Raw genomic sequence first — 12,502 nt, forward strand, 5'->3', positions numbered from 1 at the left:
TGCCTGTAGTCCCAGCTACTTGGGAGGTTGAGGCAGGAGAATCGCTTGAACCCAGGGGGCGGAGGTTGCAGTGAGCCAAGATGGCGCCACTACACTCCAGCATGACGCCAGCGCAAGACTCCATCTCAAAAAACAAAACAAAACAAAACAAAACAGAAAAAAAGAAAAAGAAAAAGAAATGGAAGAGATTTATTGCAGGTGGAAGAAGCAGCACAAGGTAGGAGAAGTAAGGAAAGCCACTTAACACCCAGGATTATTCCTCTCCAGTCTGTGAGTCTCAGTTTTCCCAGGCTATTCCAATACTCCTTTGTGCTGCCCTGTCACCAGGCATTGAGCTGGTTGGAAGTTTTTACACTCTCACATTCCCCTGCGTTCTATACTCACCACATGGAACCATATGCTGCACTTATTCTCTTCCATTTATTATCTGCATGAGAGACAAAAATTCTAGCTTTCCAAAAGCTAAATAAATTTCCCCTTCTGTTTAGCTTTGGTGGTTTCTGTGGCTTTTAGTTTTGCTGGGATTTGTGTCAAAATCGTTCCTCCCTCCTTTTTGGTCCCAAAGCATTTTGCTGTGCTTCCCTTATAGTCAGGGTTTTCAAGCAGGAGGGAGGCAGCCTTTTTGGCAGTGAAGTGTTTAATGATAACAGCTTCACCTTACTAAACGCTGGCCATGCATTATGACCGTAATACTCAGCATTGTTCTAAATGTCTTGTATATATTAGCTATTTTTCTCTCACACAACTCTATGAACTACTTATTCATTCAGTGATTCAAAGAATTTTGTTTGTTTGGTTGGTTGGTTTTTGTTCTTGTTGCTGTTTTGAGATGACGTCTCGCTCTGTCACCCAGGCTGGAGTGCAGTAGCGTGATCTCGGCTCACTGCAACCTACGCCTCCTGGGTTCAAGTGATTCTCCTGCCTCAGCCTCCTGAGTAGCTGGGACTACAGGTGTGCACCCCCACGCCCGGCTAACTTTTGTATTTTTTTTAGTAGGGACAGGGTTTCACCATGTTGGTCAGGCTGGTCTCGGATTTGTGACCTCACGATCCGCCCACCTCAGCCTCCCAAAGTGCTGGGATTACAGGCGTGAGCCACTGCGCCCAGCCAAGAAATCTTTACTGAGGGCCTCCTTTGTACCAAGCACTGTGCTACATGCTGGGAATAAGGCAGTGGAAAAAGCCTTGGATCTCTGGTAACTTACATTGAATTGAAGATGACAGACGATAAAAAAATCAATAAAATTTAATACAATGTCAGGCACTAACAAGTGCTATGAACACCATGAAGCAGGGTGAGGGGTAAGGGAATGGGATAGAAAGTGCTCCCAGGTATGCATGGTGCTATATTTATTGATGATGATGATTATTATTATTTATAGAGTCTTGCTCTGTTGCCCAAGCTGGAGTGCAGTAGTGTGGTCATGGCTCACCGCAGCCTTGACCTCCTGGGCTTAAGTGATCCTCCCACCGCAGCCTCATGAGTAGCTGGGACTGCAGGTTCATGCCACCATGTCTGGCTAATTTTTTTTTTTTTTTTTAGAGACGAGGTTTCACTATGTTGCCTGGGCTGGTCTCAATCTCCAGGCCTCAAGCAATCCTCCTGCCTCTGCCTCCCAAAGTGCTGAGATTATAAGCAAGAGCCACTGTGCCTGGCCATGGTACTATATTTAATCAAGTGATGAGGGAAAGCCTCCTTGTGGAGGTGATGTTTGTGCAGATATAAATGACATAAAGGAGCAGTCATGCAAGTATCTGGAGGGAGAGTGTCCAGGAAAAGAAAAAGAGAGTGCAAAGGCCCTGAGGTAGAAAGGAATTGGATTTTTATGTTAAATTCAGAAAGGAGGTCAGAGTGAGTGGAGCAGAGTGAGCAAGGGAAAGAGTGGTAAGGGATGAAGACAGAGAGGTGGGGAGAAACAAGGCCAGGTAGGCTTCATAGGCCATGGGAAGGACTTTTTATTTTGTCCCACATGTGATCAGGAGGCATCAGAGGGTTTTGAGCAGGTAAATGATATCATCTGGTAATTTTAAAGATCACTCTGGTTTCTTCATAGAGGGTAGGCCACATCAGTAAAAAATAGAAGCAGAAAATCCAATTAAGGGACAAAGGAAGGGACAATGGAATCATGGGAGCTTGGATTAGGGTAGAGGAGAGGGCCAAGAATAGAGTCCAGAGGCTCTCTAATATTTAAAGGTCTGGAAAAGGAATAGGAGCTGTCAGTGAAGACTGAGAAGGAGCAGTAAATAAGGAACTAGGGAATGCTTTCTTTCTTTTTTGTTTTTGAGACAGCCTGTTGCCTAGGCTGGAGTGCAGTGGGGTTACCATGGCTCACTGCATCCTCGACTTCCCAGGTTCAAGTGATCCTCCTACCTCATCCTCCCAAATAGCTGGGACCACAGGTGTGTGCCATTATGCCCAGATAATTTTTTAATTTTTTGTAGAGATGGGGACTCCTTATGTTGTCCAGGCTGGTCTCAAACTCCTGAACTCAAGTGATCCATCTGCCTCAGCCTCCCAAAGTGCTGGGATTACAGATATGAACCACTGCACCTGGCAGGATAATTTTTTTCTTCTTTCTTTTCTTTTTTTTCCCCCACAATTTTAAACCCAAGCAGTACACCTGGTTGGTTGTTACATGATTACATTGCATCCTGGTGGGGATTGGGCTTCTAGTGGTGTACCTGTTACCCAAATAGTGAACATTGTACCCAATAGGTAAATTTTTTTTTTTTTTTGAGATGGAGCCTCACTCTGTTGCCCAGGCTGGAGTGCAGTGGCGCTATCTCTGCTCACTGCAACCTCCTCCTCGCCCCAGGTTCAAGTGATTCTCCTGCCTCAGCCTCCTGAGTAGCTGCAATTACAGGCTCACGCCACCATGTCAGGCTAATTTTCATGTTTTTAGTAGAGACGGGGTTTTGCCGTGTTGGCCAGGCTGGTCTCGAACTCCTGACCTCAGGTGATCTGCCCGCCTCTGTCTCCCAAAGTGCTGGGATTACAGGCGTGAGCCACTGTGCCCGACTTTTTTTTTTTTTTTTTTTTTCCCGTGATGGGGTCTCACTCTGTAACCCAGGCTGGAGTGCAGTGGTGTGACTCCAGCTCACTGCAACCTCTGCCTCCCTGGTTCAAGTGATCCTCCCACTTCAGATTCCCAAGTAGCTGGGACCACAGGCACATACCACTATGCCCAGCTAATTTTTTGTGTTTTTGGTAGAGACTAGGCTTGTCTCGAACTGCTGAGCTCGAGTGATCCACCTGCCTCGGCCTCCCAAAGTGCTGGGATTACAGGCATGAGCCGTCACACCCAGCCAAATATTTGGTTTTCTATGTTTGAGTTAGTTCACTTAGGATAATGGCCTCCAGCTTCATCCACGTTGTTGCAAAGGACATGATTTCATTTTTTTTTTTTTTTTTTTTTTGAGATGGAGTTTTTCTCTTGTCGCTCAGGCTGGAATGCAATGGCATGATCTTGGCTCACTGCAACCTCCGCCTCCCAGGTTCAAGTGATTCTCCTGCCTCAGCCTCCTGAGTAGCTGGGATTACAGGCACGTGCTACCATGCCTGGCTAATTTTGATATTTTTAGTAGAGACGGGGTTTCACCACATTGGCCAGGCTGGTCTCAAACTCCTGACCTCAGGTGATCTGCCCACCTCGGCCTCCCAAAGTGGTGGGATAACAGGCGTGAGCCACCGCGACCGGCCAATTTCATTCTTTACTATGGCTGTGAAATAATTATTTATTGTGTCCTCCAGTTGCAAGGAGTTTAACAGCATGCCTGGCCGCTGCTCACTAGACGCTAGGAGCACCTCCTCAGTTGTGATAACTGAAACAACTCTAGACATTGCCAAATGTTCCTGGGGGTGGGATGGGAGGATCACCCACTCTTGAAAACCACTGGTCAAGATGTCCCACAGGAGATACTTGGCAAGACAATGCACAGGTCAGACCCCCATGACAAAGAACTATCTGACCCAAAATGTCAATAATCCCTGAAACTGAGAAACCCTAGTTTAGACTCTAGTTGAGAACTTATTCCTGGAACTAAGCCAGGTTTGGCTGTGTTTTCTCGTGGCCCAATAACGAGAAGCAGACAAACTAGGAAAGAAGGGAATTTGTTGCTGTCACCGGATACAGGGAAAGGGTCGGAGATAATTCCACCAGACCAACTCAAAGTGTTACAATTTTCTTTTTTTCTTTTTTTTGAGACGGAGTCTCGCTCTGTCGCCAGGCTAGAGTGTAGTGGTGCGATCTTGGCTCACCACAACCTCCGACTCCTGGGTTTAAATGATTCTCCTGCCTCAGGCTCCCGAGTAGCTGGGACTACAGACGCGTGCCACCACGCCCAGCTAATTTTTGTATTTTTAGTAGAGACAGGGTTTCACCATGTTGGCCAGGATGGTCTCGATCTCTTGACCTTGTGATCCACCCACCTCGGCCTCCCAAAGTGCTAGAATTACAGGTGTGAGCCACCACACCCGGCCAGTGTTACTATTTTCTTAGTGTTTATACAGGTTTAGGTTATATGCCTACATGCAGTATGGCATTCACCAAAGTCTATCAGTAACTAATTTTGTTTCAACTAGAGGGTCAGAGGCAAAAAAATTCTTGCTAAGTCTGATTAAGCTGTGAGGGCCCCAGTACCTTCAAGGCCTGTTTACTGTGGTACCAGAGTGATTATTTCTATCTTATCTCCTTTACAGCTTGGTGCGGAGAGCTGCCTTAGATTCTCCAATGAATCTATTCAAACAGCTGCCTCTGTTACCTTGACTTGTCTCAGATATCGTCGACCCGAGACGAGTCCTGGCACTAGGAATGTAAGGCTGTCTCTGTTATTTTGACTTGCTCCAGCAAGGGAGAAGCCCATGCAAGGCTCTTACTCACCATGTGTTTCATTTCTAGCTTTGATGTCTGTACACCAATTCCCCTAGGTTTAACTATTTGCTCAATGTTAAGGCAATGCTGTGGAAATCTGTCTGTGTAACTGGGGTGCTATGCAGGCCTGTCTGTGTGACTGTCAGGGAGAATTGGCCTGCCACAAACTGACCCTTGACCATTGGGTTTAGAAACTTGGAGGTCATTTGTGACTCTGACATGTGGTTTAAGTAAAGTGGTGGGGATGAGAGCCTGATTGAGAGAAATTCAAGAGTGAATGAGAGGTGAGAAAGTAGAGGCAGTGAGAAGTTTTGTTAAGTGGAGAGAGAAGTGGAACACTGAGGGAGTGAGCTGGGTCAGGGAAGAGTTTTTAAATTTAAAAATAAATGCATTATTTTATACATATAAAATTATAATTTATATGCATAAATATATATGTATTACAAAGAATAATTTTGTGAACATCAGGCAGCTTATGAAGTAAAATCTTCCCATCAGGGCAAGGTGGCTCACACCTGTAATCCCAGCACTTTGGGAGGCTGAGGTGGGCGGATCACCTGAGGTCAGGAGTTGGAGACCAGCCTGGCTAACATGGTGAAATCCTGTCTCTACTAAAACATTAGCCAGGTGTGGTGGTGCGTGCCTATAATCCCAGCTGCTTGGGAGGCTGAGGCAGGAGAATCGCTTGAACCCGGGAGGCGGAGGTTGCAGTGAGCTGAGATCGTGCCATTGCACTCCAGCCTGGGTGACAGAGGGAGACTCCATCTCAAAAAAAAAAAAAAAAAAAAAAGAAAGCAAAAACAAGAGGTAAAATCTTCCCCAGTATAGTTAAGGCTCCCTGAATTTCCCTTTCCAGATTGCTTTTCTGCCAAAGGGTAAGCACCATTCTCTGAATGTTGTGCTTTTACTACCTAGGTGAGTAGCGAAACAGTTTTTTTCTTTCTTTTCAGAGATGAAGTATAATTTTATAGCATGTTTGCATAATGATGGGAGTGTTGCAGTACAGAGGGGTAAACTGATTAAGTGAGAGAGAGAGAGATAGGGGATAATTTCAGGAATAACATCTCTGAGCAGGTGAGAGGGAACAGGATCCCGGGGTACAGATGAGGTGGCAGGTGGGTGCATGTCAGCTTCTCTGCGGTAGAGTTGCAGGTAGACTGGTGAATTTGGGGTGGGAACATGAGGAAGTTCCCTTCTGAAAGTTTCTGTTTTCTCACTGAAATAGGAAGAAAAGTCATCATCTTGTGAAGTTGTGGTCTCAGATTTGGGGAATGTGAACTGAGTAGGGAAAGGCGAGCTGGCATGCCACACTGAGGGCCCGCAGGAAGCAAGACCAGTCAGTATGACTGTGTGTTTCTCCCCAGCTGTTGAATGCAGGTGTGGAGCAGGCAGAGTGGGATTTGACCAGGGATAAAATGTGCCAGAGGAAGGGGGGCCAGGAGTACAGGGTGAGGGCTGAGAGGCGATTACCATGTTGAACCTTGGAATCTAAACTGGGTAATGAGGAAAGTGAAGAATTGAGATCAAACAATGAAAAGTAAGTTAGTGGATGGGAGGCCCAGATGGGGTTGAAGAATTTTTGGGATAGGGGTACTGGGGAGCAACATGAAAAGACTGAGGATGAGATTTTAGAAGGGCAGTAGGTATTGGTGGCAACCAAGTTGAAGGTATGACATAGGGCGAGAGGGAAGCAGGGAGAAATAAATCACTGCAAGAGAAGGGCAGGGTGCTAGAGAATCTGCATGAACATTGAAAACAAAAATAATAAAACGGGGCCAGGCACTGTAGCTCATGCCTATAATCCCGGCACTTTGGGAGGCTGAGGCAGGCAGATTGTGTGAATTCAGGAGTTCGAGACTGTCCTGGGCAACACAGTGTGACCTCATCTCTATTAAATATCAAAGGCCAGAGGCCAGGCGCAGTGGTTTATGCCTGTAATCCCAGCACTTTGGAAGGCCGAGGCGGGTGGATCACGAGGTCAAGAGTTTGAGACCAGCCTGACCAATATGGTGAAACCCCATTTCTACTAAAAATACAAAAAATTAGCCGGGCATGGTGGCACACGCCGGTAATCCGAGCTACTCAGGAGGCTGAGGCAGGAGAATCGCTTGAACCTGGGAGGCAGAGGTTGCAGTGAGCTGAGATGGCACCATTGCACTCCAGCTTGGGCAACAAGAGCAAAATTCCGTCCAAAAAAAAACAAAAACAAACGAACAAAAAAACAGGCCAGGGGCGGTGCCTCAAGCCTGTAATCCTAGCACTTTGGGAGGGTGAGGAGGGCGGATCACCAGGTCAGGAGATTGAGACCATCCTGGCTAACACGGTGAAACCCCGTCTCTACTAAAAATACAAAAACAAAATTAACTGGGCATGGTGGCGGGTGCCTGTAGTCCCAGCTACTTGGGAGGCTGAGGTGGGAGGCGGGAGAATGGCATGAACCCGGGAGGCAGAGCTTGCAGTGAGCCGAGATCGCACCACTGCACTCCAGGCTAGGCGACAGGGTGAGACTCTGTCTCAAAAAAAAAAAAAAAAAAACCCAAAATTTATCCGGGCGTGGTGGCAGGCGCCTGTAATCCTAGCTACTCAGAGGCTGAGGCAGAGAATTGCTTGAATCCAGGAGGCAAGGTTGCAGTGAGCTGAGATTGTGCCACTGCACTCCAGTCTGGGCGACAGAGCCAGACTCCATCTCAAAAAAAAAAAATAAAATAAAAATAAAAAAAATTAGCTGGGAGGATCACTTGAGACCGGGAGATCGAAGCTCAGTGAGCTATGATCCTGCTGCTGCACTCCAGCCTGGGTGACAGAGCGAGACCCTGCCTCAGAAAAAAAAGAAAAAAGAAAAAGAGGCTGGGCTCGGTGGCTCACGTGTGTAATCCCAGCACTTTGGGAGGCCGAGGTAGGCAGATAACCTAAGATCAGGAGTTCAAGACCAGCCTGGCCAACATGGTGAAACCCTGTCTCTAGTAAAAATACAAAAATTAGCTGGGCGTGGTGGCAGATGCCTGTAATCACACCTACTAAGGCTGAGGCAGGAGAATCTATTGAACTCAGGAGGCGGAGGTTGCAGTGAGACGAGATTGCGCCACTGCACTCCAGCCTGGGCGAGAAGAGCAAAACTCCATCTCAAAAATAAATAAATAAATAATAAAAAGAAGAAAATGAAATGAGCGGTGGAAGTAGAGTGATCAGGTGCTGAATCTTCCATTGTAGAGGGGGAATGATGACCCAGAATCTAATCATGGTTTTCCCCCATCTGTATGAGAGCACCCATACAGATGTTATGGGAGGGCAGAGCCTCTCCTAGAGGATGGAGTCTCTGTCAGTAGAGGTGCCACAGCCAAGGGTATCACCTGCAGAGGGAGGTGAGTCAGATAGGAAGAGGATCACATTGTAACTTTTTTTTTTTTTTGAGACGGAGTCTCGCCCTGTTGCCCAGGCTGGAGTGCAGTGGCACAATCTCGGCTCACTGCAAGCTCTGCCTCCGGGATTCACACCATTCTCTTGCCTCAGCCTCCCAAGTGGCTGGGACTACAGGTGCCTGCCACCACACCCAGCTAATTTTTTGTATTTTTAGTGGAAATGGGGTTTCACCGTGTTAGCCAGGATGGTCCTGATCTCCTGACCTCGTGATCCGCCCATCTCGGCCTCCCAAAGTGCTAGGATTACAGGAGTGAGCCACCGCGCCCGGCCACACATTGTAACATTTTATTTCCTCATGAGGGAGGAGTCTGGGTGAGGTTAAGAGATCTGAGATTAAGAAACAAACATTCCTAAGGAAAAGCAAAAGAAAGCTAAGTCATTTTTTATTCATCTCTCCCTTTGCCTGATTCCTTTCAATTCAATTGAGTTCAAAGATTGGTAGAGGAGGTTTTATCTGATGAGGATCTGAAAAACAGAGATAAGCCAGATTTGACTCTTGCCTTCAAGTAGCTCACAAGGTAAACTGTGTATGTCAAGATATCAGGTGGGAAGAGATGAGAAAATATGCAGATAACATGAATCTTAGATCTAGATACTTTTCTCCTAAAGAAAATTGCCCGGGTTGAAGTCATTTTTTGGCCTTTCCATTCTCCCTGGGTGGTCCTTAAAGTGTCTGTAAACCTGTGATTCCCAACCTTAGCTGCCCTTTGGAATCACCTGGTTATGTCTTAAATACTGATGCCAGAGTTCCACCCCCAGAGATTCTTTTTTGTTTGTTTTGAGATAGGGTCTCACTCTGTTGCCCAGGCTGGAGCACCGTGTTCTGATCACTGAAGCCTCTGCCCCTCAGGCCCAAGCAATCCTCCCGTCTCACCCTCCCAAGTAGCTAAGACTACAGGTGAGCCATGGGGCTCGGCTAAATTTTTTTTTCTTTTTCTTTTTGAGACTGAGTGCCTCTCTGCCACCCAGGCTGGAGTGCAGTGGTGCAATCTGGGCTCACTGCAACCTCCGCCTCCTAGGTTCAAGCAATTCTTCTGCCTCAGCCTCCTGAGTAGCTGGGATTACAGGCATGTGCCACCATACCCGGCTGATTTTTGCAGTTTTAGTGGAGACGGGGTTTCACCACGTTGGCCAGGCTGGTCTTGAACGCCTGACCTCAGGTGATCCACCCACCTCGGCCTCCCAAAGTGCTGAGATTATATGTGTGAGCCACCGCGCTCGGCCTAGGCTAATTTTTTTTTTTTTTTTTTTTTTGAGACGGAGTCTCGCTCTGTTGCCCAGGCTGGAGTGCATGGCACGATCTCGGCTCACTGCAAGCTCCACCTCCCGGGTTCATGCCGTTCTCCTGCCTCAGCCTCCTGAGTAGCTGGGACTACAGGCACCTGCCACCACACCCAGCTAATTTTTTTGTATTTTTAGTAGAGACGCGGTTTCACCATGTTAGCCAGGATGGTCTCGATCTGGCCTAGGCTAGTTTTTAAACTTTCTTGTAGAGATGGGGTCTCACCATATTGCCCAGGCTAGTCTCGAACTCCTGGGCTTAAACGATCCTCCTGCCTCGACTTCCCAGAGTGCTGAGATTACAGGTGTGAGCCACTGGCACTGAGCCCAGAGATTCTGATTTAATTGTTTTAGGATGCGACATGGGCTTTCAGATTTTTCAGTGCTCCCCAGTGGATTCTAATGTGTAACCTGGGGTAAGAACCGTTGCTCCAAGGAATGCCTGAAGCTCTGTTTGGAAACCCACTGCTTTAATCTAACCCAGAGGAAAGAGAGACACCTTTTTGCTACAGTGAGGGATGAATTGATCCGGACTTTGAAAGATATTGTAAATAAAATTTGACCAAGTAGAGAGGCAGATGTCAAGAGGGGGAGAACATCATGAGCAAGAGCCTAGATGTGGTCTAAAGCCTCTGAAATTTGTGACAAGCTGCAAACAATTTGGTTTATAATAGGCAGAGATTTGGGAAGGAGGTCTAAGATTTGGGAACAGCTGGGCAAATACCTGGAGGTGGGAATGATGAGTAATTCAGTATGGTTAGAAATTAGAATGAACAGAGAAGCTGGATGATTTTAAATTATGGAAGGTGTTAAAGGCCAGATTAAAATTTTGTAAATAATTGAGTAGGCAATAGGGAACCTTGAAGGGCTTTTGAGCAGTGGAGTTATGAAAGTGTGTTTAGGGAGGCTGATCTGACAATAGTGTGGAGGGAGACTTGAGGTAGGGAGAAGTAGGAAGTAGGGAGACCTGTTGGGAAAGCTGATGCAATAATCCTAATGAGGTAATTTTTCCAGCAAGGGCTGGGGAAAAATTACAGATTCAAAAGACATTGTGGTGGCAGAACTGACTAGGCTTGAGAGCACACCAAAAATAAGGCAGGAGGGAGAGGGAGGAGGCGGCAAATTTCTAGATAAGGAAGAGTGATTGGGAAAATGGTCTATTAACAGAGACAGGGAAGCAGGTTTTCTGTGGCATTTCATCAGTTTGTTTTGGAATGTGTTGATTTTAGAGGACCAGCAAGCATCTTCCATGTGGCTATGATCTTCAGGCACTGGAAAAAACGTCTGCATGTAAAATACAGGTTGGAAAAGCATTTGATTAGCTGAGTTGAGTGAATGAGCTTTTCAAAGGAAAGTCTCAGAGAAGGAAAAAAAATCAGAGATGGACACTTAGGGGAAGGGAGGAGAAAAAGCAAGGAGGGAAGGCAGAGGCGGAATGGTTAGAGGTCTGTGTGTGTGTCGGGGGAAGGGAGGTAATACGTTCTTGAACCTGGGTATGTGGGGAATTCAGGGTCAAGGGACAAACATGGGAGGGCTTAGAGAGGCAGAATACTGTGAAAATGCCATTGATTTGGGATCTGGGTAATTGGTTGCCATTTGAGAGGGAGGTTTCAGGAGAATAGGGTGTGGATGCATATTCCAATAAGTCAAGAAATAGTGGGTATGAAAAAAAGACAGATACAGACATATCTCTGATAGCAATATTCCGCACCCCCCTGCCCCTTTTTTTTTGAGATGGAGTTTCGCTCTTGTTGCCCAGGCTGGAGTGCAATGACTTGATCTTGGCTCACTGCAACCTCCGCCTCCCAAGTTCAAGCGATTCTCCTGCCTCAGCCTTCCAAGTAGCTGGGACTGCAGGTGCCCGTCACCATGCCCGGCTAATTTATTATTTTTAGTACAGATGGGGTTTCACCATGTTGGCCAGGCTGGTCCCGAACTCCTGACCTCAAGTGATCCGCCTGCCTTGGCCTCCCAAAGTGCTGGAATTACAGGTGTTAGCCACCGTGCCCAGCCGTGAATTCTGTTTTTCAAGAAGTTTGGTAAGGTAGGCACATTAAATGCGAAACATCCAAGGGCGAACCCATGATATTCACACCTCACCCCACCCTCCTCCCACATCTCCTATCACATTTCCTATCTCAGTGCATGGCTTCCCTTCTAGATTGTAAGCTCCATGAGGTCAGGGGTCACACCTGCTGTCTGGGTGGATGTCTCACCAGCATCCAGCATGGAGTCTGCATGTTGCATAAATGCATAAATTAGGTTAGGACCCTGTCCTGTGGGTGTACAACCAAAGACCCAAGCCCACTGCTGGCAGCATCCCCTAATCACCACTCCCCTCAGAAAAGAGGCCTATTGGTTGACCTCAGGATAGGAGAGGGCAACTAGTCCCAGGGAGACTTGAGAGGCCATTGACCTCCTCCCTGGGCTCCCACAGCAATCTGCTCTCTTTGCCTTTCCTATACCCCCTACAGTCCAGCATGTGGGGCTCTAATCCAAGTTATCTGCCACCCTCCAGCCCACAGTCAGGAACAGCTATGGGCAGCTGGCATCTCTTCTTGGCCCCCATCACTCTATCCTTGACCAGCTTCTTCACCATGGTCTGCCCTCTCTGTTCTCTTGTCTTCCTGGAGTTCTGGGGATAGTAGGGAATGGAAAAGGGGTACTGGGGAAATAAAGCCTCACTAAGAAAATAAAGCCTCACTGAGAATGGACCCCAAGGTCTTCCTTGGTGGATTCCCAGGGAGCTCCCCTCCGTCCCCCATATTCACGTGTCTCTCTGGCGATCTGGGAATCTGTGTCCCTCACGTTAGTCTCTGTCGGGTTTTCTTTTTTTTTCCTTGGAAGAGGAGATGAAGGGAAGTGAAAGGCGGAATCAAAAGTGGGGAGGGTCTTTGCGGGGCCGCAGTCTTTGGAATTGCGGGCGATAAA

Source organism: Homo sapiens, chromosome 6 (genome assembly GCF_000001405.40).
Source record: "Homo sapiens chromosome 6, GRCh38.p14 Primary Assembly".
Lineage (NCBI taxonomy): Eukaryota > Metazoa > Chordata > Mammalia > Primates > Hominidae > Homo > Homo sapiens.